Genomic DNA, 27,271 nt, shown 5'->3' with positions numbered 1-27,271 from the left:
CCCAGGCTGGAGTTCAATGGCGTGATCAAGGTTCACTGCAACCTCTGCCTCCTGGGTTCAAGAGATTCTTGTGCCTCAGCCTCCTGAGTAGCTGGGATTACAGGTGCCAGCCACCATGCCCGGCTAATTTTTGTATTTTTAGTAGAGACAAGGTTTCACCATTTTGGCCAGGCTGGTCTCGAACTCCTGACCTCAGGTGATCCACCCGCCTCGGCCTCCCAAAGTGCTGGGATTACAGTCGTGAGCCACCGCACCCTGCCTATCCTGTCATTTCTAAAAAGTAATTTGAGATTTTTAATTTTGACTTTTTTTTTTTGAGACAAGATCTCACCACGTTGCCCTGGCTGGTCTTGAATTCCTGGGCTCAAGCAATCCGCCTGCCTTGGCCTCCCAAAGTGCTGGGATTACAGGCATGAGCCACCATACCTGGCACAATTTGAAATATTTTAAAATGGTAAGTCTTTGGTTTTGAGTTTCTCTAATGTGTGTTTGTCACTGAAGTGGTGTTGATTCCATATTTACACCTTTTCAATTACTCACTTAAAAATATGTTTATGCTCCTCTGCCTGCCTCTTTTGAGCATGGTTTTATTTTATTTTGGAGGTTTTCTTACTTTATTTTGCCTAAATCCCTTTATGTAGTGTCAGTCTTAAATGTCACCCTTTGGCAACCGTTGATGAACAGCTTCTCAAACTTTTTTTCTTTTCTTTTTTTTTTTTTTTTTTTTGAGAGACGGTCTTGCTCTGTTGTCTAGGCTGTAGTGCAGTGGCACGATCACATCTCATTGCAGCCTCAAACTCCTGGGCTCAAGCAATCCTCCTACCTCAGCCTCCTGAGTAGCTGGGACTACAGGTGCACACCACCAACCCTAGTTAATTTGTTTAGTTTTTGGTAGAGATGGGGTCTCACTATGTTGCTCAGATTGGTTTTGAATTGCTAGCCTCAAGCTATCCTCCTGCCTCGGCCTCCCAAAGTGCTGTGATTATGGGCATGAGCCACTGTGCCTAGCCCTCAAACTTTAACCTGCATCAGAATTCCCTAGGAGATTTGTTAAAACACAGATTGCTGGACCTACCCCCTTGTTTCTGTTCAGTGAGTTTGAGGCAAAGCCCAAGAAATTTGCATTGCTAATAAGTACCCAGGTGAGACAGATGCTGCCGCTCTGGGGACTGCACTTTGAGAACCGCTGACCTGAGGGATCAAGGCATTGAACATCAACAGCTGCTGATGTCATGAAAGGAGAGACGACCAGGTGTTATGTGCCTCCTGATGAAAAAACACACTACCTACCATCTAGGAAACATTCTTGCCAAAAAAAAAAAAAAAAAGAACTTGAATCTTACCAAACCTCTAAACTACCAATTTGTAGGAAATATAGACAGAGTAACATATGGGGATGCAATTGGCCAAGTCCAGAACATGAGAAACCAGGATTCTTCAAATAACAAATTACAAAAAAAGAAAGAAAGAGAGAGATGGAGGAGGAACCCATAGATTAAAGGAGATTTCAGGCCGGGTGATGTGGCTCATGCTTGTAATCCCAGCACTCTGGGAGGCCAAGGTGGGTGGATCACTTGAGGACAAGACTTTGAGACCAGCCTGGTGAATATGGTGAAACTCCATCTCTACTAAAAATACAAAAGTTAGCCAGGCGTGGTGGTGTGTGCCTGTAGTCCCAGCTACTCAGGAGAGTAGCTTGGCAGGAGAATCGCTTGAACCCGGGAGGCAGAGGTTGAGGTGAGCCGAGATCACGCCACTGCATTCCAGCCTGGGCGACAGAGCGAGACTCTGTCTCAAAAAAAAAAAAAAAGATTTCAAAGGCCTATCAATCAACTGCAACATATGGACCATATTTTCTTCTAAAGCTGTAAAAAAATGTATATACATATATTTTTAAGACAGAGTCTTGCTCTGTCGCCCAGGCTGGAGTACAGTGGCACAATCTCGGCTCACTGCAACCTCCGCCTCCCAGGTTCAAGGGATTCTCCTGCCTCAGCCTCCCGAGTAGCTGGGACTACAGGCGTGTGCCACTATGCCCGGCTAAGTTTTTGTCTTTTTAGTAGAGACGGGGTTTTACCATGTTAGCCAGGATGGTCTCGATCTCCTGACCTCGTGATCCGCCTGCCTCTGCCTCCCAAAGTGCTGGGTTTACAGGCGTGAGCCACTGCGCCAGGCAAAAAATTTGTATTTTTATCAGAAAATTGGAAATTTGAATAGTGAGTGGTATCTTATGATATTAAAAAATTATTTTAAATTATTTAGGTGGCATTATGGTTATGTTGTGTGGTACATAGGATAATAGCTCCCCCGAAGATGTCCACATCCTAATCTCTGGAACCTGTAAATATGTGGCAGAAGGGACTTTGCAGATGTGTTTATGTTAAGGACCTTCTAGTGGGGAATTATCCTGGATTGTCTGGTTGTGTCCAATGTAATCACAGGATCCTTATGAAGGAAAGAAGAGAGTAGGAGAGTCAAAGTCAGAGAAGGGAATGTGACAATGGAAGAAAAGGTCAGAGAGAGTAAGAAAGAGGGCTTTGGGGCCAGGTGCAGTGGCTCGTGGCTGTAATATTGGTGCTTTGGGAGTCTGAGGCGGGAGGATCGCTTGAAGCCAGAAGGTTAAGACCAGCCTGGGCAACATAGTGATACTGCATCTCTATTAAAAGTAAAACAAATTAGCTGGGCATGGTGGCATGCTTCTGTAGTCCCAGTGACATGGGAAGTTGAGGCAGGAGGACTTCTGGAGCCCAGGAGTTGGAGGCTGCAGTGAGCCATGATTGCACCACTGCACTAAAGCCTGGGCAACACAGTGAGACCCTGCCTGTAATTTTTTTTTTTAAAAAGGAGAGAGCTTTGAAGATGTTAGATTGCTGGCTTTGAAGATGGACAAAGGACCACAAGCCAAAGAATGCAGGTGGAAAGGACAAGTTAGAAGTTGGAAGTTAGAAAGGACAAGGAAGTGGATTCTCCCCTAGAGCCTCCAAAAGGAATGCAACTGGGCTGACCCATTCTGGACTTCTGACCTCCAGAACTTTAAGATAAACTTCGGGTTTTTTTTTTTTTTTGAGATGGAGTCTCACTCTGTCACCCAGGCTGGTGGCACAATCTCGGCTCACTGCAACCTCTGCCTCCTGTGTTTAAGCAATTCTCCTGTCTCAGCCTCCTGAGTAGCTGGGACTTCAGGCACACACCACCACACCTGGCTAAGTTTTGTATTTTTGTACTTTTTTTTTTTGAGATGGAGTCTCACTCTGTCGCCCAGGCTGGAGTGCAGTGGCGTGATCTCGGCTCACTGCAACCTCCGCCTCTTGGGTTCAAGCGATTCTCCAGCCTCAGCCTCCCGAGTAGCTGGGATTACAAGCACGTGCCACTAAACCTGGCTAATTTTTGTATTTTTAGTAGAGACGGGGTTTCACCATGTTTGCCAGGCTGGTCTTGAACTCCTGACCTCAGTTGATCCGCCCTCAGGTGATCAGCCTGCCTCAGCCTCCCAAAGTGTTGGGATTACAGGCGTGAGCCACTGCGCCTGGCCTGTAATTTTTTTTAGTAGAGACGAGGTTTCACCATGTTGGCCAGGCTGGTCTCAAACTCTTGACCTCAAGCAATCTGCCTGCCTCGGCCTCCCAAAGTGCTGGGATTACAGGAGTGAGCCACAGCGCCCAGCCAACTTCTGTCATTTTAAGCCACTAAGTTTGTGATAGCAGCAATAGAAAGCTAATACAGTTATGCTATAAAAAGGGTCATCAGCCGGGCATAGTGGCTCATTCCTGTAATCCCAGCAATTTGGGAGGCTGAGGCGGGTGGATCACCTGAGGTCAGGAGTTTGAGACCAGCCTGGCCAATATGGCGAAACACTGTCTCTACTAAAAATACAAATTAAAAAAAAATTAGCCGTGCATGGTGGTGGGCACCTGTAATCCCAGCTACTCGGGAGGCTGAGGCAGGAGACGCGCTTGAACCCGGGAGGCAGAGATTGCAGTGAGCCGAGATCGCATCACTGCACCCCAGCCTGGGCAACAAGAGCGAAACTCTGTCTCAAAAAAAAAAAAAAAAAAAAAGCCATCTTTTAGAGATGCATAATTAAATACTTACAAAATACATGATATGTTGTCTGGAATTTGTTTCAAAATACTATGGCAGTGGGGAGAATAGAGAGAGGTGTGCAGGGGCAGAATTGACCATAATTATTGGGGCTGAGTGATGAGTGCATTCTTTGTGTATTTTAAAAATTGAACACAAATACATACACACGAAAAAGAATAGTTACATCTAAGTGCTATAAACCAAAATACTTCTGAAGACCTAGGTTGGTGAAATCCAAGCTGGTCTCACCTAGGGGTGGTAACACAGCCAAAGTGGGAGTATTATAAGGACTGAAGTGAGAGGGACCATTCTTCAAGTTGGCACTGGAATGGGTGAAGACATAAGGGGCCCAGCCCAGGAAAGACACAGGCTGGAAGGGAAATGAATGATGTGAGGCTCTAGGAAAGTGGAAGAGTTAAATCAGCAAATACATACAGGGAACAGAAAGACAGTGAAATGAACCAGTCAAGGAGAAAAATTGTGCCTTGTTTCATAGAGCCAAATGTTCTACTTGCCCTCTCTTAGGCTCTGGGTCACCTTGGTGTTGAAGAGTAGACAGATGCCCACTTCCATTCACCATTTTGCTTCCTTTTGCCCCCTTTTCCAGTTCTTTTGAACCCATGCTCCCTGAATTATAGCCTTCCCTTTGTCAGATACTGTTGCTTCCTATTTCCATGATTGCCTATTGTATTAGGTCATTCTCACATTGTATACAGAAATACCTGACATTGGACAATTTATAAAGAAAAAAGATTTAATTGGTTCATGGTTCTGCAGGATGTTCAGGAAGCATGGCACTGGCATCGGCTAGGCTTCTGGTGAGGCTTCAGGAAACTTCCAATGACGGTGGAAGGCAAAAGGCGGACTAGTATATCATATGGCAAGAGCAGGAGCAAGAAAGAGAGGGAGGTGCTACACACTTTTAAACAGCCAGATCTCGCGAACTCATTCATCATCGCTAGGACAGCACCAATGGGTTGGTGTAAACATTCATGAGAAATCCACCTCCCACCAGGCCCCATCTCCAACACTAGGGATTACAGTATAACATGAGATTTAAAGAGGGCAACATCTAAACTATATCACCTATATTCATTTGACTTTATGCCTTTCCAATCAATTTTTCTTGGTTGTTTGCTTTATTTTTTTGCTTGTTTTTGGCAAGACAGAGGCAAACAAACAGAATAAAAATGCCCACATAGGTGGTATACATGGAATGCAAAGGGCCTCTAAATATGTTTTTCTTCCCAACCACCACACTGGTTTACAAGTCTGTATTATTTTTATTTTTATTTTTATTTTTTTGAGACGGAGTCTCGCTCTTGTCTCCCAGGCTGGAGTGCAATGGCACGATCTCGGCTCACTGCAATCTCCACCTCCCAGGTTCAAGCGATTCTCCTGCCTTAGCCTCCTGAGTTGCTGGGATTACAGGCGCCCACCACCAAGCCCACCTAATTTTTATATTTTTAGTAGAGACGGGGTTTCACCATGTTGTCCAGGCTGGTCCCGAACTCCTGACCTCAGGTGTTCCACACGCATCAGCCTCCCAAAGTGCTGGGATTACAGGCGTGAGCCACCATGCCCAGGTATTTTTAGTTTTTTGAGATGGATTTTTGCTCTTGTTGCCCAGGCTGGAGTGCAATGGTGCGATCTTGGCTCGCTGCAACCTCTGTGTCCCAGGTTCAAGAGATTCTCCTGCCTCAGCCTCCCGAGTAGCTGGGAATACAGGGGTGTACCGCCACGCCCAATGAATTATTGTATTTTTAGTAGAGACGGGGTTTCTCCATGTTGGCCAGACTGGTCTTGAACACCTGACCTCAGCCTGCCTTGGCCTCCCAAAGTGCTGGGATTACAGGTGTGAGCCACCGCGCCCGGCCTCAAATCTGTATTTAGACCGAGGACTCTAAGGGGAGGAAGGCTCCACAATTTACCTACACAATACCCTGCACAGGTGTAAGGTGAAAACTGCTGTTGGCTGTGAATTAAAGCAAAGTTTTCATTATTAAGATGACTAAGATTTAATATAATTGGAGGCCTTAATGAAAGATAATTCACTGTAAGAAGGAGGAGAAAATAATTGGAAGGCAAATTACAATAGCTTTAACAAAAAAGAAGAGGGGTACAGGGAAGTTGTCTGCAACATTTCCTAAAATGAGGGTGATGCTTTACCAGCAGGGATGAACGTCAAGGACATAATGTTTAGTGAAAGAAGCCAGGCTCAATAGAGGACATATTATGCGAGTCTATTGATAAGATATCCAGGAACAGGCAAAACTAATCTATAGTGATAGAAATCAGAATAATGGTTACCTGAGCAGGAGGCATCATGAGAAGATTTTCTGGGGTAGTCGAAATGATTGTTTGTTTATTTATTTGAGACAGGGTCTCGCTCTGTCACCCAGGCTGGAGTGCAGTGGTGTGATCATAGCTCATTGCAGTATTGCACTCTGGGCTCAAGGGATCCTTCCACCTCAGCCTCTCGAGTAGCTTGGGACTACAGGTATGCTAATTTAATTTTTAAATGAGCTGGCCATGGTGGTGCACACCTGTAGTCCCAAGTATAGTGGGAGATATATTGCCCAGGCTGGTCTCGAATTCCTGGCCTCAAGCGATCCTTCTGCCTCAGCTTCCCAAAGTGTTGGAGTACAGGTGTGAAGCACCGTGCCCAGCCAGAAATGTTTATAACTTGGTGTTGGTGACAACAAGTGGCTGTATGCATATGTAAAAAATTAAGCTGTAGATTTATAATTTCTGCACTTTACTATGTGTAGGTTAAACCTCAACTGAAGAAAAAAAAAAGGATGATACCACACTTGGCCTTGTGGATTGCTAATCCAGCTGGCTCGCTGCCTACTGTGCTGTGCGTCACTCTCCCTGTGACCATGAAACTCAAACTGCCCTGACTGTTCCCAGCCTCTGCCCGCTCCAGCCAGTGGTCCCCTGTCAGTGCTCATCCCATCTCTGGCTGCTCTTGCAGACATCACGTTTCCACTAGGAGAGGTGGGCAGAGCCCTTGGAGTGGTAGCAGCAGCTAGAGGGGTGGTGGGATCTGCAACTGTTTCTACAAGTTTTCTGCTTAATAACCATCAATGGGTCCCCATTCCCCACAGAATGAAGTTCAGACACCTTAGCATAGCACTCCAAGTCCTGTCTAAATTGACCCCTTCTTCTTATTATGATTATTTTTTGAGGCAGGGTCTTACTTTGTCACCCAGGCTGGAGTGTAGTGGCGCGAACTCAGCTCACTGCAACCTCTGCTTTCCAGGCTCAGGCAATTCTCCTGCCTCAGCCTGCTGTGTAGCTGAAACCACAGGCGTTCACCACACGCCTGGCTAATTTTTTGTATTTTTGGTAGAGACGGGGTTTCACCATGTTGCCCAGGCTGGTCTCGAACTTGTGAGCTCAAGCGATTCACTTGCCTCAGCCTCCCAAAGTGCTGGGGTTACAGGCGTGAGCCACCGCGCCTGGCCGCTGCAGTGACTTCTCATTACTTTGTGCACATGCTGTTCTCTATGCACTTCTGTGTCTGTCAAACTGCATTCTTCCCCTCTCAACTCAAATGTCACTTCTTTTACCCTCTTAAAAAATAGGCACATGAGGAACTAACACTTGTGGAGTGTCTGTTATCAACCGGACAGCATTTAGGTGCTTTTCATACCTTATCTTCTTTAACCTTCACTCTAAGACACTTTCTCCAAATCAATTTTATCCACTCGTAGTTCATAGTATTATAGTGCCTTCCATAAAACAGGCTGTGAAATCTTTAAGTGCTATGGACACAGTGCCTCAGGTCTCTACGTTCTCAAACACTTTACAGAAATATTTGAGGCTCCCAGCCCCACAGTTGGTTGGCTTGAAATATGAAAAGAAAACTGTTTCAATAATGGTCCCAGCAGAAACAGAAGATGTAGTTATAAGTGATTTTGAATTTACTGGGTTATTTACAGAGGTGTGGGTAGCTTCCAGGGAACTAGCAAAAGATGCTGAAGGAGCCAGGGACTGGCGGAAGCTGGAAGGTGTACCTGCTTCTCCCCCAACCCCTCACCTTCCTGAAGACGCAGTGAGTACCAAAGTTGTGAAAAGGGGACCCCTGCCAGGAGCTGTCATTGTACTGCCACTGCCACCGTCACTGCCAGGACTGAGGTCCTAGAAGAAAGGGCCATGGGTGAGGGGGAAGGACTCAAATGGAGAATAATCAGAACAAAAGGTGTAAAATAAATTTTTTTTTGTTTGAGACAGGGTCTCACTCTGTCACCCAGGCTGGAATTCAGTGGTGTGATCTTGCTCACTGCAGCCTCGACCTGCCTGGGCTCAAGCCATCCTCCCACCTCAGCCTCCTGAGTAGCTGGGACTACAGGCGTGCACCATCATGCCCAGCTAATTTTTGGATTATGTATGTATGTATGTATTTATTGTGTAGAGACGAGGTTTTGCCATATTGCCCAGGCTGGTCTCAAACTGCTGGGCTCAAGTGATCCACTTGCCTCGGTCTCCCAAAGTGCTAGGATTACAGGCATGAAAATCAAAATGATAAATGTTTTAGTGAAATGTCCAAAAGGCCAGTTGTCAGCTGGTCAACTCTAATTCCATTCATCTAGTTATACAAAAAATATAATATAGGTACATCTAAAAAGGTTCGATATGGGGAAGGGTGTGGTAATAGATCCTAGTTCCTCTGAAGATCTTAAAACATACGTCTATCTATCTCTGTCTCTCCTCTTTGGATGGGGTGTAAACTCCTGGAGTATTCAAACTGTCTTATTCATCCTGGTATTCTCACTTCTGGCAGAGTGGCACATAAGCATTCAATACATCACTGAATGAAGGACTGGCTGAATGTAATAATGGTCAAATGTAGCGTAGTGTTCACTGAGGTTATGTTAGTTTTCACAGCATATAAAACACTTGACTTGGCCAAAGTCAGCTTAGGTGTCATGCACTTTGTTGGTAAAAGGCTAATGTAATTTTACTTTTTTAAATGTGGGGATTTGTTAAGCAAAGACCATGTGGTTTTCTGATAGATTTGACTAGTATTTTCCCCATCTGTGAAGTAAATGTAGCAGATTTTATTATCCCCATTAAAAAAATTAAAACAATCTGAGGCATGGAAAGGTTCTAAAGAAATACAGTTAGTTAGTTGAGATAGACTAATGATAGACTTGAGATTCCAGACGAGAGACAGGGCCGGTCCTCCTTTTGCTAGAATACGATGCCTTCCTGTTAGACTAGCTTCTCTGTCTTCCTATTGCACTTCACTTCTTGATCTTTTTCCAGGGAAGTTACTATTTTGAAGTTAAAAGAAGAGGTTTATTGTAAGCAACCATAACAATACTGAAAACAATTTATATCTTACAGATATGTGCTCTTGGTTTAATGGGGAAAAAAGGGCAAATTGTTAGAAACAGGGATCTGAAGATATTTGTAAAGTCACTATTTTAAACAATCAGTTATTTAATACCCATTCTATGGATTTTTACACTAAGGTAAAAATATGAATAGTGGGTTTACTAGTTACAACTTGGAGCTCCAGTCTCTGCCAGGCTTAGTTAGGCTTCTGTGTTTTAGGGAGAAAGATGCCCATTTAGTAGGAAAACTAGAGGGAGTCTTCACTCATCCTAAAACGTTAACTTTATGTATGCAAATTACATTGTTTCTTTTTTTTTTTTTTCCGAGACGAAGTTTCGTTCTTGTTGCCCAGGCTGGAGTGCAGTGGCACGATCGCGGCTCACTGCAGCCTCCACCTCCCGGGTTCAAGCGATTCTCCTGCCTCAGACTCTCAAGTAGCTAGGATTACAGGCGCCCGCCACGCCACCTGGCTAATTTTTGTATTTTTAGTAGAGACTGGGTTTCGCCATGTTGGCCAGGCTGGTCTCAAACTCCTGACCTCAGGTGATCCACCTGCCTCGGCCTCCCAAAGTGGAGGGATTACAGGTGTGAGCCACCGCGCCTGGCCGATATTGTTTCAACATAAGCATGTGTACTGATGAAGATCTAGATTAAACTTGCTTATCTAGGGAAGATTATCTTTTCACTCTCACTAATATTGAACTCTAAAAAAGGTACAAAAGGAAGCAATAAAACACACTTGAAATACAGGAGTATTTTGCCCTGGACTTGGACTGGGTGGGGTGATGTGTTTTTTTGAAGGTTGTCACAGGTTTGGTGCCAAATCAGGAGAACTATAAGAGCAAATTCACAGGAGCAAATCTGAGGCTTGAAAAATAAATCATGAAAACTTGGATTTTACCAGCTTTAGTTCTTATTCTTTCAGTTCACAGTTTCTTTATTTTCATGTTTTCTAGGCAAAGTTAATCGAACATAATAACAGTAGGTATTCATTTATCCATTTATCTATTCACTCATTCAACAAATATTTACCAAATTCCTACTATGGGCAAGAGACTTACATATAATGTAAGAGAAACGGTGATGTTCCAACCTGTGTTAACATTATGAAAAAACTGTCTCAAATTTATTTTGGCAAAGGTGGAAAAGCAGGGTATAATAAAATAATTATTGAAAAGTTTATATACGTAGTGGATAAAAGCACAATTGATGACAAGGGTGGAAGGAATTATTAGGACATATTTGAATATATTAATATATTCAAAAGCTAACTGCCACTTATTTGCTGTGTATTAATTTATTTTCCTCATCTGTAAAATGGGAATGAGAGTACCTACCTCATAGGAAAGTTGTGAAAGAACATTGCAAATATTGGAAATTTATCTCTAAAGAGACTAGCGTGATTCTCAGCACATGCTCAATAAATGGTAGCTATTGTTATTATCGATAACTCAGATTTAATATAACGAAGAGTCACACATCTATAAATCCTTTGGTGAGGATAGTAACTGAGAAGATGTTCTAGGATAGATAATTCAAATTTCATTTTTAGAATAAGGGCTTCAGTAATTTCATGTTAACAGAAATATGAAAAATAGATTAGGCATCAGTGAGCCAGGCAATTCAGCAATCATAGTAGAATTCCTACAATTTAATAGAATCCATAGACGTAAAAAAGGTATGTGACAAGCCAAAGTAAATCTTTCTTTTTTTTTTGAGATGGAGTCCCAAATAAATCTTTCATACATAGAATGTAGAGATGAATTTCAAATATTTCCATTGCATTGGGATTAGAAGGACAGTGGCCACTAATTAAGAATTTATGTCCTCCTCAGCCCTGCTGGTGCCCATAATAAGGTTTGTTTAGATTAAACCTCTGTTTAATTTCTTTCTGTTAAAGATCTCCTTCTGGCTTTTTTTTTTTTTTTTTTTTTTTGAGACAGAATTTCGCTCTTGTTGCCCAGGCTGGAGTGCAATGGCGCGATCTCGGCTCACGGCAACCTCTGCTTCCCAGGTTCAAGCGATTCTCCTGCCTCAGCCTCCCGAATAGCTGGGATTACAGGCGCGTGCCACCACGCCCGGCTAATATTTTGTACTTTTAGTAGAGACAGGGTTTCTCCATGTTGGTCAGGCTGGTCTCCAACTCCCGACCTCAGGTGATCCACTCGCCTCGGCCTCCCAAAGTGCTGGGATTACAGGCGTGAGCCACCGCGTCCGGCCTCTTTCTGGCTTTTGAAAACATGTTTGGGCCGGGCGTAGTGGCTCACGCGTGTAATCCCAGCACTTTGGGAGGCAGAGGCGGGTGGATCATGAGGTCGGGAGATCGAGACCATCCTGGCTAACACGATGAAACCCCGTCTCTACTAAAAATACAAAAAATTAGCCGGGCCTAGTGGCACGCGACTGTAGTCCCAGCTACTCAGGAGGCTGAGGCAGGAGAATCGCTTGAACCCGGGAGGCGGAGGTTGCAGTGAGCCGAGATCGTGCCACTGCTCTCCAGCCTGGGCGACAAAACGAGACTCTTGTCTCAAAAAACATGCTTGAACCTTCATCTTAGGACACTCCAACATTTTCTCCTATGTGATATACATTATAGAATTGATAGGACCAAATCTCACTTTAATATTTGCATATCATCAACCTAGTCTTTCTATTTTCGCCTTAAAGTTTACTTGAATTTGGCATTAACATTTAGGTTTTCATTTTTAAAGCATTAAATAATAGATCCATTTGATTCTGTGCCACTTGCCAATGTTTAGATATAATAAACACTTTGACTTTTGCTTAATACTGCAGAAGCTGCAACTGGAAAATTCTATCCTGCGTTGTAGACAATGGATATATTCCACAGGAGTTTTTTGTTCTCAGTTTTAAGCTCTGATTTCCAAATCATGATTTAAAAAGTATATCATGCCCTCTGCACTAAGTTAGGTGATCACAGATGCAAAACCTACATCCAGCTTTGGAAAGAGTTCCAGAGAGAGAAGCCCTAGCAATGGTTTGTTTTTGGCTAACATAGCACATTGTATTATTTTTCAAACAAAAGTTTGAAATCAGCTTATACCTAACCTGAGAACGAGGGACAGATGTTTTTCTCCGGCGTTCTGTTTGCTGTAATTTGTGCTGAGAGATTCACTGGTCGTTTTAAAGCTGTTTTTACGCCCCCTCCTTTGTGCGACCTCCACTTGCGCTATGGGCCTTGCCCGGTGGGAAAGGGAGCGTGCAGAAGGGACCCCAAAACGCACTCTCGGGGATGCTCCTGAGTCAGTAAGCAAGTGATTTCCCCCTGCGGGTTCATCTAGTTCCCGTTAGCTCAACCCCGGGTTTAGAGGAAGAACGAAATCCAGAGAGTGAAGCTGGGAGGTGAATGCGTGGCAAAAACTCATGGAAAAAAAAAAAAAAAGCAGTTTCAAGGACTATGCTGCAACCCGCCAAGCAGTGGCTTTCCTCAAGCTGCTGTAACCAGCTGCTTCTCCCTGCTCCTCGAACTTGCTTGAGTTCCGAGGGAAGCGCCTGCTTTTTGGGTGCGTGGCCAGGGTGGGTGGTGGCCAGGATTCGAAGGCGACAGTGAAGGGGAGCGAGTTCCCGGGATGGAACTTGACGTGGAACCCGGGGTCCCATCGAGGGGCTCCCCACGGCCTCGGGTGCTTGGGCTGCGACTGGTTTTTCATTTGGCGTAGGCGTGGGGGGTAGGAGGCAAAGTGCCAAGGGCTTTCCCGGGCTCACAGTGTCTCATGGTCCGCCACTGCCTGCGGTGGCGCTCGGCTTGACCCCGGCTCGGGCCCCGCACGCGGCGGCGGTCAAAGGGCGTGCTCGCGGCAACCGCAGGGCACGCGGGCCGGCCGCGCGGGGGGCGGGGCGGCAGTGGCGGTTGCGGGGCATGCGCGGCTCCGCGCGCGGCTTCTCAAACATGGCGGCGGCGGTGTGAAGCTCGGTGCCGGCTCGCGCGATCGGTGGGACAGAATTTCGTTGTTTTCACCGACGAGACTGGAGGTACGTGGTGATTCCGGGCCCCGTAAGGAATGGAGAGGCGGAGGTGTGTCCCGGACCCCGACCGTTGTCCGTGGGCGGGCGGGTAGAAGCCATCAGCGCGCGTCCCGTGCGAGGAACGCCCCCTTACGATCCCGCCTATGTCCCATCTCAGTTCGGCTTCGCGATAGGGTATCCCGCCCCCGGCGCCTTCCGCGGACGCCCTTCAGCCGATCTCGCGTTTCCCCTCACGCCGCCCCGGGGCCTTTTCGCCGCCGCGGGGTTTGGGCGCCCGGCCGATAGCTTCCACCCGTCCCCTCGCCTGCAGCGCCGACAGCGCCCTCCGGCGCATCCTCCCTGCCGTGGGTAGGGCCGGGCTGGGGCCTGGGGGGCATCACGGTGGGTGGCGGGGCGGAGGAAGGAGGTAGACTTTGCCTGGTCTGGGCTGAGATAACTTTTGGAGTTTGGGAGGGAAACGTCGGCCCGGAAGGATGCGCCTGTGGCGGCGTGCGGGCGCAAATCCTGGTGCCAAGGTGCGCGCCGCCGGGCTCCTGGCGGGGGCTGGGGGCGCCGGTGGCTCACCCTAGCGGTGCAGCGGGACCGGAATGCGCGTCCCGTCCGGGGCTGGCGGGGAGGCGAGGAGGGGCTCTAAGCCTCCTGAGGGGCGGAGAGGCGGCCTCGCGGCCTGACCGAAAAAAAGTTGCTGCCGTCACTTAGAAACAGTCTCGAAATGGTTTCTTACCTTTCTCGCTTTTTCCACCTGTATCGTGCTTGCGCCCCATCCAGGTGTGAAGAGCCGGAGGGAGAATGGGTCTAGGCGAATTTGCTCGATTTTGCGCCTCAAGGTTGTACATAGATAGCTTCCTGGGCCGACTTGTAATTCGGCTCCCCCAAACCCCAAATGTTTGGGCAGCACAAGTATTTACTTACAGGCTCCCATTTGAGACTATTTATTTTTTAAAAAGAGGTTGTTAAACATTTGTCAAGCATCACAAAGTGTGATTGCAACTTGAAATTTGCTTCTTGTTTGTAAATTAGGAGATTAACGTTTATGACTTACTTTAGGTCTTCTCTGGAAAGTTAATGGATCGATTAGTGGGGGTAAACTGAGGCAGGGAAAGTGAATAAGTTGCTTATGATCATATGATTTACAAAAGTATTGGAGATAGTTGTTTTTTTCCCTAAAACAGCTTCAGATGCTGCTACATTTTAATGCCCCCAGAGCTATTCATATTTCTGTTTTGAGGGAAAAGTATTTTAAGATGTACAACATTTATGGAGTACAGCTGCCTATGATGAGCAATTGTTTTATAACAATGGTTCATAAACGCATATTTAATTCTTTTCAATAACAGCGAGGGAAATGTTTTTCAATAATGACGATTTTGCCTTTCTTTTATTTTTCTTAATTACTCATTAAATAAAATATTTCCAATTACGAATGTGCTTTCAGGCTGTTTGTGTGTTTTTTTTTTTTTTTTCTATTTAATGGGAGGAATGTGAAAATAAGCTTTTGGAAATGAATCCAGTGGGATTTTTGAGAAAAGATTGAGTTTATGAGTATTCACCTGATGCCTTGTGTTTAGCTTTATCTATAACCTTTAAAACAGTTTGATAGAATGTAAAGAAAAAACACCATTTAAACTGGCTTTGAAAGTTTTGAATGAACTTTATATATACATCATGCAGCCATATGAACTTCTTAAGGATGTATACTTGTTTACCCCAGAGAACCTGATTTGCTTTGGAATTGGTAGTTGGAAAAAAGATTACTGTAACTCTACTGCATTATATGTGCGGGTGCTTTAAAGTTGATAGTGTCATAACGTTCAAAAATCATTACAGTCAGTCTAAAAAAGGTGTATCAGTTTTTCTCATGAGGTGGTTGATCAGTCCTTTTGATTTATGATTCCATCAACACATCTTTATTAAGCACCTGTGCTGTCTTTACTATGGAGTTCAGTTTATTCAGAGCCCACTACGTGTGCTAATTTCAGGGTGTTTAAGGCTTTCCACCCATAGTTTATTCCTGAAAATTTCAGGGAGTTATAGCTAAAAAAATCAATACGAATGTAGAACAAGTATTCCTTTCATTCAAAGGGCGAACTCGAGAAGTCAGTATTTTTGTCATAATTCTCCAAACAAAATTCTGAGTGTAGCTGCAAACTATTTCTGACTTACGTGATGTTAACTTTGTGATTTTTTGGTTAGGATTATATAAAGCTATATATTTTCATGAGATTATTTTCTGGTTCAAATAGATAACATACTGGTTAAGCTTGAGGGGAAAAATGAGTTGCTGGTATAAATGGAAATCAATATGTGCTCTGAAGATTGGGTATTTTTTAATACTAAGCAATTTCTATTACTAAGTAGTTTAAGCTGTAATTAAGTTTTAACTGGTATTTTAAAGCACTTTGTTTTTTCAAAATGTTGCAGAAATCTCTGAGCTCAGAAATAACAAATAAGGGTTATGATCCTCAGCTATAAGCCAGATGTGACTCTTATTTTCTTTTGGGCTTGTTCCTTTTTAGCTGCCTGCCTGTTCCTCCCAGATGCTTCCTATCACCCCTCTTCCTGCCCCTGTTCCCTTTGCTGTTGGTGTCTGTTTCCGCATCAGTGAAATGGTCAGGGTAATCCTTTGCTGCTTCACTGAGAAATAATTAATGATGGTAAAGTGCCTTGAAAAGGCTGAGTAAATACCAAGTCTTTTGAATTAACTTGATGTAGCCACTTGTTCCATTTAAGGAAGAGCCAAATCCCAATTTTAGTTTGAGCTCTTGGGGGTGCGAGAGAAAAGTTTCACTTGACTATTTTACTGCCTTTCTTTTGGGGTTAATAGCAATGACTTTTGTAACTCTAGTAACTGGAACACGGGTGGATACAGCAGTATCCTCTGCTGTTTGCCTTATTAGTCACCTCTAGTCTTTTTTTTTTTTTTGCCTGGTTATTCTGTCTGCCATTTTTCTCCCTCTATTCTCATTCCACTTGTGAATGGAAATCGGAGGTCCTCTCTATTAGCTACCCTCTCGGGGTGGGGAGGGTAGGTCTCACTGTCTCCTCATAGTCATATTCCTGATTTTTAGGATATACAAGAACAAAGTGGGCTCTGCCAGCTATCAGCCTTAGAGCTATGAGCTGTGGTGCAAAGATTAGTCTGTCATTGCCAGAAGGTGTTTTGTAGTTTGCAGTGGGCAAATCAAGCATCCCTAATAATTTTAGAACCATTATTAATGTCTGAGAATTACTACATAATACCTTAGAATTTGAACTGATTGTTGATTCCAGGAACTAAAAACCTGGACATTTTGAAAATGGCAAATGTTGGTGATGTTTTTTTTTTTTTGAGATGGGCTCTCGCTGTGTTGCCCAGGCTGTAGTGCAGTGGCGTGATCTCAGCCCACTGCAGCTTCTGCTTCCTGCGTTCAAGCAATTTTCCCACCTCAGCCTCCTGAGTAGTTAGGATTACAGGGGTGTGCCACCATGCCCAGCTAATTTTTGCATTTTTAGTAGAGACGGGGTTTCACCTAGTTGGCCAGGCTGGTCTCAAAACTCCTGACCTCAGGTGATCCTCCTGCCTTGGCCTCCCAAAGTGCTGGGATTACAGGTGTGAGCCACCACGCCCGGCCGTGTTGGTAATTTTGAAGGAAGAGTTTATACCCTTCCCTGGCTTTGGGGCTTAATATTCAGGATCTCTTTGTCTTGGGGAAATAGATAAAAGAAACCACTGGCGTTTATCTTAGATTAAAATGGCATAATTTATACCATTATATAAATACTGGTATAATTTAGTGGTAAGTACATTTTTTAGACTCTAAGTACCTTAGGCTTTGGTTACCATTTATAAAAAGAGTTTGTGGTAGTTCTTTTTTTGATACGGAGTCTTGCTCTGTTACCCAGGCTGGAGTGCAGGTGCAATCTCGGCTCATTGCAACCTCTGCCTCCTGGCTTCAAGCAATTCTCCTGCCTCAGCCTTCCCAGTTGCTGGGACTACAGGCATGTACCGCCACACCCAGCTAATTTTTTTTTTTTTTTTTTCCGAGATGGAGTCTCGTTTTGTCACCCAGGCTGGAGTAGAGTGGCACGATCTCAGCTCACTGCAACCTCTGCCTCCCAGGTTCAAGTGATTCTCCTGCCTCAGCCTCCCAAGTAGCTGGGACTACAGGCGTGCGCCACCGAGCCTGGCTAATTTTTGTATTTTTAGTAGAGATGGGGTTTTACCATGTTGGCCAGGCTGGTCTCAAACTCCTGACCTCAGGTAATCCATCCACTTCTGCTGCCTCTCCAAGTGCTGGGATTACAGGCATGAGCCACCGAATCTGGCCTTTGTTTTTTTTGAGAGTCTTGCTCTGTCTGTTGCCCAGGCTGGAGTGCGGTGGTGTGATCTTGGCTCACTACAGCCTCTGCCTCCTGGGTTCAAGCAATTCTTGTGCCTCAGCCCCTGAGTAGCTGGGATTACAGGCGTGCATCACCATGCCCACTAATTTTTGTATTTTTCATAATTTTTGTATTTTTAGTAGAGATGGGGTTTCACCATGTTGGCCAGGCTGTTCTCGAATTCCTGGCCTCAAGTGATCCTCCTGCCTTGGCTTCCTGAAGTTCTGGGATTACAGGCGTGAGCCACCTCGCCCTGCCAATGGTGGTTCTTAAAAATAACTTGAAAAAATTTTAGAAGCTATCAAGATTTGAAATGTGTATGTGTTCTTTGGTTTTCATGAGAAAGGCGATTTTGTTTATTTTGTCATTATGTTGTCTATTTCTAGGGTTACCTTGGCAACCTTAGAAATAATACTGGGTTTTTTTTTGTTTGTTTTTTTTTGAGACGGAGTCTCGCTCTGTTGCCCAGGCTGTAGTGCAGTGGCACAATCCTGGCTCACTGCAACCCCCACCTCCGAGGTTCAAGTGATTCTCTTGCCTCAGCCTCCTGGGGAGCTGGGATTACAGGCGTGCGCAACCATGCCCAGCTAATTTTTTAAAAAATAATTTTAGTAGGGACGGGGTTTCACCATGTTGTTCAGGCTGGTCTCAAACTTCTAACCTCAAGTGATCCACCTGCCTTGGCCTCCCAAAGTGCTGGGATTACAGGCGTGAGCCACCACGCCCAGCCTGGAGAGGTGTTAACATAAGCAATGGAGATATCTTATTGTGTGAAAAGTGAAATATTTGAGGATCCTGTAGCAGTGAATATGATGGTGCTGTTCATCTTAATATCATGATCATTTGACCTAGACTACATGAATTCCTTATTTGAAGAGTTAAAACTTATAGAATAAGCTGTGAGTAAAGACCTGGGAAACTGAAGATAGCATTTGATTACCTACTACTTGTGACCTGTGTTTATGGCTATGGCTCTGCCTCTTCCTAAGTTTATAGGAGCAAATTGTTTTAAGAGGGGAAAGAGAGTGCCCACTTTTAGTGGTAACGTACTGTTGTAAACTTCAGAAGGGACAGATATATTACAATTCTAGGGCATACCTTGAAGATGCTTTCATTTCTCAGAGAAAAGTTTGCGGGGCTCTCTTTGGTTGTGTTTAGAATACACATTTGATTTTTCGCAACCTCTGTTTCTCATAAAGATTAACTGGTGGCGAATTATAGACAAACAGCTCCATTTGTTTGGTATGTACCTTATAGCCTTGACATAGTTTTTTAAGTGTATTGACAAAGTGCTTGTTTTTTTTGGTTAACATTTGGCCACTTTTCCTACCTTTCATCAGTTTTAGCTGGTTTAAGGTTTGATTATATATTTATTTTTAAATGCTGAATCAAATGTGTTTCTTCTTTTCAGTTCTCTTCCTCTTTGAATACATTTGGAAACATGTGCCCTTTGCTATGAACTGTTGCTTTTTTTTCTTTGGAAATATTTTTTAAAATGTTATTTGGAGTATTTTTCTCTTTAATGTTATTTGAAAAGCAATATAGTCAGTATTAATTTTTAACTAACTTGATAGAGTTTCATAAATCTGTTCAAATGAAACACGGCATCTTTGGTCATTAAAAGAATTAATATATAGTAGGCAATAGTAAGTATATTTAGATATTGTTTGGTTTTAGATTACTTTAGAGACTCTGATTTGAGATTTTTTTTGTGTTGAAATTTGAGAAGTTGTAGAAATATTTGAATGGGTAATTTGCTGACACCTGCCTCATGTTTGAGGTATTTTCAAGGATGTTTAGTTTTCTGGTTTCTTCAGATTGTGGTTTATTGCATGCTTTTCTGCAGTCTGTTGTCTAGTGGGGATTGTTGTTGTCATCATTTCCATTATTTCTTGTAGGGCCGGTGTTAGAAACCATAAATCTAGACTGCAGTGATAATAGGAACAGCCTGTAACCAGATCCAGTTCTTTTGTCAAAAAGTTGCACCATTAGCTGCCTGTAGTATATTGACATGCCCTGCCATTAACTCAAGTCCTTCACAAAAGTCAGTGGGTAGCAGGTCTTTGGGCAGTTAGCCTGTAGCTGTGCTTTAAAACCTCAGGAATTTACAACTATAAACTGGGATTTTGGCAACCCTTGACTTATCTTTCGTTTATCTGTTTTCTGACATGACATACTTCTTCACTAAATACATAGCTTTCACATAAATCATTTTGAAATTGCAAGTGATTAACTTACAGGTTTTTTGGGGGGTAACTTAAATTAGAAATTTTTGAAAATAGTTAAGCCTTCTTAGGTTTGTTTTGACACAGAAAAAGATTAATTACTAATTTGTTGGGGTGGACTCTTTACTAAAGCATAATTTAAAATTGCTCCTTTAGAAACCTTAATTTCCTCAAGAAGGCTTGATTTGATAAATTATTGCTACCAAAAATGTTCTTTGATTTTTTTTTACAGATTTCAGAAATATGGAGATGAAAATGTTCTTTTTTTTTTTTTTTTTTTTTTTTTTTTTGAGACGGAGTCTTGCTCTGTCACCCAGGCTGGAGTGCAGTGGCATGATCTCGGTTCACTGCAGCCTCTGCCTCCCAGGTTCAAGCAATTTTCATGCCTCAGCCACCCGGGTAGGTGAGATTATAGGTGTGTACCACCGCAGACGGGGTTTTGCCATGTTGGCCAGGCTGGTCTCGAACTTCAGACCTCAAGTGATCTGCCCACCTCGTATTCCCAGAGTGCGGGGATTACAGGCATGAGCCCCTGCGCCCGGCCTAAAAATGTTCTTTTTTTTTTTTTGAAATGGAATTTTACTCTTGTCACTCAGGCTGGGGTGCAATGGCACTATCTTGGCTCACTGCAACCTCCCCCTCCCAGATTCAAGCGATTCTCCTGTCTCAGCCTGCCAGGTAGCTGGGACTACAGGTGCCCGCCACCACACCCGGCTAATTTTTGTATTTTTGGTAGAGACGGGGTTTTACCATGTTGGCCAGTCTGGTCTCAAACTCTTGACCTCAGGTGATTCACCCGCCTCAGCCTCCCAAAGTGCTGGGATTACAAGCTTGAGCCACCGCACCCGGCTTGTTCTTTCTTAATATTGATTAGTCTTAATTCAGAGATAGAATTTTAGTTTTAAATGTAATTACAGTATTAGAATTTAGTGTTTTTCTGATTACTTTTATAACTATGTCAGAAAATGTGACATTTGATTATTTACTTGAGTGAATTGAATAGATACTTGTGGAATCTTAATGTGATGACTCATGTTCAATTCCACAAAATTATGTATGGTTATACAATGGAATATACACTTTTTCTATCCTGTATTAGGATAATCACTATTACCAGAAACAAAATCTTAGTTGAAAGAGAGAGCTTCTCTTGGTCAAAGAAAAAATACATAACTACAGTGTATTTTAATTAAATCAGTATTTTTTTTTGCATTTAGGCATAAATGTGAAGTACTTCTTGAAACAAAATAATAAACTATTTACAAGTTAAAAACATAAAGGTGTTATTTTATGCAGTTAACTCAGACCTTCCCCTTCACAATAAAGGACAGCGTTTTTGTTTGTTCAAGTCTAAAAGTAGTGTCTTTATAACAAGATAGATTTTAAAAGGAAAAGAACCCTTTCTACCTGTGCTATTTAATTAATCTCTGGTAAATTGTGTATGTATAATAACTTCCGTCACTTATTCCAACATTTTCTTTAAAACACCAGCAAACGTATTTGTGAATCTCTCTTATCCTTGAAACTTCTTATGCTGTTGATAAACTCAAGGGGCTATGATGAAACATTTTTTTCAATAGATTATTTTGTGAATAGGGACTTGGCTTGTTGTTTCTTTTTTTGGTGAATATTGGTTTAAAGCACATGTTTTAGTTATACCTGTTATGTAGTTGGCATTTATAAACTGAATTCTATAATGGTAACTCATACGGAGCCTGACTTTTTGAGACCATGAACATCCTAGAAAGAGATAAAATTCAGAGTAAAAAAAAAAGGCCAATCAACTTCTGGGAAAGAGAGAGATATTGGAGGTGGGGGATTGTCTCAGATCTCACAGAATTTTCTCCTTGGCCCATTGACTTAGACTTGTGTGTAAATTAAGACAGCTGATTTGATATTGCAGGAAAGAACAGAGAACAACAATGATGGCCAAAAGAAAAATCTCGGCCGAGCGCCGTGGCTTACGTGAGCCTGTAATCCCGGCACTTTGGGAGGCTGAGGCAGGAGGATCATTTGAGCTCAGGAGTTTGAGACCAGTATGGGCAACTTAGTGAGCCATCGTCTCTACTAAAATTAAAAAAAAAAAAAAAATTAGTTGCTGAGCTTGTTGGCACATGCCTATAGTCCCAGCTACTTTGTGTGTGTGTGTGTCGGGGGTAGGGGGTGTGCAGGGGGTGTGCTGAGGCAGGACAATCACTTAAGGCCGGGAGGTCAGGCTGCAGTGAGCCCTGATTATGCCACTGAACTCCAGCCTGGGCAACAGAGTGAGACCCTGTCTCAAAACAAAGAATAAAAGAAAAATTTTATCAAAAAATTGTTTTAGTCCATGTGTGGTGGCTTACACCTCTAATTCCAGCACTTTGAGAGGCTGAGGCAAGAGGATTCATTGAGCCCAGGAGTTTGAGACCAGCCTGGGCAACATGGAAAAACTCTGTCACTACAAAAAATACAAAAATTAGCCAGGTATGGTGGTGTGTGCCTGTAGTCCCAGCTACTAGGGAGGGTGAGGTGGGAGGATCACCTGAGCCCGGGGAGGTTGAGGTTGTAGCGAGCTATGATCACTCCACTGCACTCCAGCCTGGGTGACAGAGAGACCCTGTTTCAAAAAAAAAATTGTTTTTAAAAACCACAGTATTCTGGTTCTATATAGTTTAGATACAAGCAGCCTATAGCACAGCAGAGTTTACTCATTCAGCAAACATTTTGGGGACCCTAGTATGTGATAGACACTGTGCTCGTTATTCTGAAGGATATAAAGAAGAACGAGATGTGATACTGCCCCCAGGAGCTTATTGTCTAGCACGGGAGAAAAGGCACTTACACAGTTAAACACAACAAAGGCAGTTTTAGCACAATGGTTAAGCATTCATGAACCTAGATTCAAACCTAGCTGGGTGATCTTGGGCAGGTCTTTGAGCCTCAATATCCTTAACTTTCAAATGAACATTAATGGACATTAATAACAGTATCTACTATGCAGGCTTGTAATAAGCTTTAGATAAGAAAAAATACATATATAAAAGCCTTAGGGTAGGGTACCAGGCATTCATTAATAGCAAGAGCTCAGTAAGTAACAGATCTGAGTAGTAGTATCACCACTGCCAACACCATTATCATTGAATCTCTGGGAACATAACTTTTGTTTTCTCCTGCCCTCATGGATCCGTTTTGTCTAGGGTATCTGGTATATTATAATATCTCCTTGTATTAGTCTGTTTTCACGCTGCCGATAAAGACATACCTGAAACTGGGCAATTTATAAGAAAAAGAGGTTTAATGGACTTACAGTTCTACCTAGCTAGGGAGGCCTCACAATCATGGTGAAAGGCATGTCTTACAGGGCAGCAGATGAGAGAATGAGAGCCAGGTGAAAGGCGTTTCTCTTTATAAAACCATCAGATCTCCTGAGACTTATTCACTACCATGAGAACAGTGTGGGAGAAACCACCCTCATGATTCATTTATCTCCCACCGGTTCCCTCCCACAACATGAGGGAATTATGAGAGCTACAATTGAAGATGAGATTTGGGTAGGGACACCAAACCATATCACTCCTTATTTCTCCCTTTCAAAGCACATACGGTGTATTGGAGCCTTGTCTTTTGGCATTTGACAAACCTCGATTTGAATCATTTTTCTTTCACTACCAGCTTCCTGATCTTGAGGAATCAAAATAACTTGGTAACTGATAAGACAGAAGAGGAGGGGAGTCAAAGATGACTTCTAATTCAGAAAGATTGAGGGTTTGTAATGCTTTTAAAATAAAATGCAGAGGAAGAGGAGCTCATTTTGGATGGCAAGAATTTGGTTATTTATGTATTTATTATTTTATTATTTTTTTTTTAGAGACAGGGTCTCACTATGTTGCCCGGGCTGGTCTTGAACTTCTGGGCTCAAGCGATCCTCCTGCCTTGGCCTCCCAAAGTGCCGGCATTACGGGCATGAGCCACTGCACCTGGTCTTTTAAAAAAATTTTTATTTTTTAAGTTTCCCACAAGTCATAGGGAATGAGAGTTTGGTTTCGTAGTTTTATTTTATTATTTTTTCTTTTCTTTTCTTTTCTTTCTTTCTTTTTTTTTTTTTTTTTTTAAATAGAGGCAGGGTTTCACTGTGTTGTTCAGGCTGGTCTCGAACTCCTGAGCTCAAGCAGTCCTCTTGCCTCAGCCTCCCATAGTGCTGGGATTACAGGTGTGATTGTAATCCGGCCCAGGTTTTTTTTTCCTTTTCTTTTTCTTTTTTTTTTTTTTTTTTTGAGACAGAGTCTCGCTCTGTCGCCCAGGCTGGACTGCAGTGGCGCCATCTCTGCTCACTGCAACCTCCGCCTCCCGGGTACAAGCAGTTCTCCCTGCCTCAACCTCCTGAGTAGCTGGGATTACAGGCGCCCGCCACCACACCTGGCTAATTTTTGTATTTTTTAGTAGAGACGGGGTTTTGCCATGTTGGCCAGGATGGTCTTGATCTCCTGACCTCGTGATCCACCTGCGTTGGCCTCCCAAAATGCTGTGTTACAGGCGTGAACCACTGCACCTGTCCGTATTTTATTGATTCTTATGTTCTCTCAGGTTGAAATTCTACAGTTGTATTCATTTTATAACATCTGACCAATGGCCTAAAGTTGAAACAGGCCTTGGGAAATCTCTCTCTCTCTCTCTTTTTTTTTTCCCTAGTGAAATTGAACTGAACCTGGAACCTGGGATATTTCTTGCTGTCAGATTTATTCAGTTCCTGTCCTTGTCAAAATGTTTACCCTTACTGAAGATCACTACTCTTCAGGTAGTGATCTTTAGAGACTCAAGGTGTAGCTTACCTTATCTTAAAAACAAAACAAAATAAAAAAAAAAGGGAGGTGGGGCACACGAAAGGAAAAAAATAAAAAATAAAAAAGAGAAAAGAAAAAGAAAAAAACTCTCCAAACAAAAAACCCCAGAAAATAAACAAATAATGGAAAGGCCCTATAATCTTAGAATTATAGACCCATTAGTTTGTTAAATAGTACTTTAAAACTGTTTTTCTCAACAGATTGTAGAATTTTCTCCAGAATCAGATAAGAGTAATGGGAGTTTTAGGCTTAATAATTCCACTATTAATCACTGTTTACATTGTTTAATTGTGTTGAGAAAATGGTTTAAAACAAGACTTTTCAAAGCATTTGTTGATCTTTTATCAGCTCTTAATTCTGTAACAAGATACAATCTGCAAAACAAATGGTTGTGTAAAAGATTGCAGATTGTCCATACTTGTTCAGAGCTTCTAGATGCAACTGCTAGATTTAGTATAACTGTAGTCTTTTTTTTTTTTTTTGAGATGGAGTCTTGCTCTGTTGCCCAGGCTGGAGTTCAGTGGCATGATCTCGGCTCACTACAACCTCCACCTCCTGGGTTCAAGCAATTCTACTGCCTCAGCCTCCTGAGTAGCTGAGCTTACAGGCACTCACCACCATGCCTGGCTAAGTTTTGTATTTTTGGTAGAGATGGGGTTTCACCATGTTGGCCAGGCTGGCCTTGAACTCCTGACCTCAGGTGATCTGCCCGCCTTGGTCTCCCAAAGTGCTGGGATTACAGGCGTGAGCCACTGCGCCCGGCCCAACTGTAGTCTTTTGGTAAGTGAAATTTCAATGTCAGGCGCTATGAAATACTATTAACCTAACCTTTTTTTTTTTTTTAAGGCTTACTTACATTTGAATGTTTTTTCACACAGTGGAATTGCTCCTAATATGCATTAAGTGAAGCAACTTCTACTCTTTATGTTGCCAAAAACAAAAACAAAAGCCTGAAGCTTTTAACTTTTTTTAAAACCAAAAATTTTTCTCCCATGTATCAAGGCAAGTTACTTGAGGGTCTTTTTTGAGCCTTTCTTATAATGCTGAAGCAGGTTCAAAGTATATTGAAAGCAAAGATAAGCTTTTTTGCAGTTTTCCTTGCAGACTACCACTGTGGAAATGTGTTTCTAAAAGAACTTCAGGCTTCTAATTTTTCCCAGAAAGAGCTGTGCTGTCTGCATCTATTGCCACCATATTTTTCTATTTGAGACACTCTGAGGATTCAACTAAGAATCCGTTGATGCTATCCAGCATTTACCAATAGATTATAGTACTCTTCTCTTCCCTTTACATCTATAATCTCCATCCTTGTGACTGAAAGACAGGTGAGTTACAGTGTAATGCATTTTAAGAGGGACAATAGAACGTTTTATTTTTTCTCAAGTTATAGTCAAAGATAGTTTCTATTAAATTAGTCAATATTCTTTTACATCAGGATCTTCGCAGATTCTTCCTAGTATTCAGTCCTAGGGAAATGTTTGTCTTTTTTTTTTCTGAATTTGTGTGTATATAACCCAAGTGTTTTCCTTTTTGCTTTTATCTACTAGGAAGCCCAGAGGGAATTACTAAATTTTTCCCAACTAACTAGTACATTTTTATTTTATTTTATTTTTTGCCATGAGCTGTGTTTTCATTATTCACGCAAATAATTTTCTATAATATCCCAGGGCAAACCAGAGAATTTGGCAGTCTGATTGGACCCATAGGGACCCTCAGGCTGGTGGCATCAGCACGGAGTGCCCAGGTTCACGTCACAGTTTGTGGCTTGTGTCCATCTTGTGGTGATTCTTCCTCCACATTACTACTGGGGTCTCGAAGATGACAGGGGTAGGGAATCCTCCAGGCTCTTAGGAAATTTCACCCGCTTCTCCTGCTCAATGGCCTCTTTGGTCAGCAGGGTGTTCTCCTGCATCTCTGTTTTCTTCAGCTTGGCCTTATTGAAGCTGGCGATTTCCCCTATGTCTGGTTTGTCTGCCATTTTCTTAAAACAATCCTAGTGGGCAAACCAAGGCTCTTGGCCTGGGGCTGGGGACCAGTGCTCCCTTCCGCATTCCCTGCCAGTGCCTCTCACCATGGCACTCCTGCTGGCAGCCCCAAGGCCTAGGTATTTGCTCTTATTAATTCGAACAAACAAATAAAACTTTACCCTAAGTGTATTTTTATATTGGGACTGCTAATCCTTTTTTAAAAACAACAAAGTATAAGATACAAAAATTATATAGGAAATGATGAAAAGTTTTGGTGATCAAACATTATCAAAAAGCAGTATTTGATAAATATAGTTATGAACTTAAAAATTATGCTAAGAGTCTAGTAAATAGATTTTCATCTGCCTTATTGTTTATCACATTTTATTTATTTATTTAATTTTTTTTTTTTTTTTTGAGACGGAGTCTTGCTCTGTCACCCAGGCTGGAGTGCAGTGGAATGATCTTGGCTCACTGCAGCCTC

The 27,271-nt window shown here is 42.9% G+C and overlaps 1 protein-coding gene, 1 long non-coding RNA gene and 1 pseudogene across 6 annotated transcripts in view; 1 reads left to right on the top strand and 2 right to left on the bottom strand.

The window, feature by feature from the left end:
* Nucleotides 9,128-12,833, bottom strand: LOC124905253 (uncharacterized). The gene is made up of 2 exons (XR_007068403.1): nucleotides 12,499-12,833; nucleotides 9,128-9,365 (listed from the first exon to the last, which is right to left on the bottom strand). It is a non-coding gene; the product is annotated as an uncharacterized LOC124905253 (long non-coding RNA).
* The window catches only part of SCML2 (Scm polycomb group protein like 2), a 115,806-nt gene continuing 101,430 nt past the window's right edge, over nucleotides 12,896-27,271 (top strand). For 3 of the 5 annotated variants that reach the window (NR_033717.2, XM_006724458.1, NM_006089.3), the window contains exon 1: nucleotides 13,326-13,422. The gene's annotated coding sequence lies outside the window, so the exon portion shown is untranslated. Of the gene's footprint in view, nucleotides 12,954-13,325; nucleotides 13,423-13,737; nucleotides 13,765-27,271 lie in introns of those variants that run through there. The other 2 variants (XM_017029219.2, XM_017029220.3) reach the window with 2 other exon arrangements.
* On the bottom strand, nucleotides 26,472-26,814 carry TMSB10P2 (thymosin beta 10 pseudogene 2; annotated as a pseudogene).

Source organism: Homo sapiens, chromosome X, assembly GCF_000001405.40.
Source record: "Homo sapiens chromosome X, GRCh38.p14 Primary Assembly".
In the NCBI taxonomy this organism is placed as follows: Eukaryota; Metazoa; Chordata; class Mammalia; order Primates; family Hominidae; genus Homo; species Homo sapiens.
This window is presented reverse-complemented; position numbering and strand designations above follow the sequence as displayed.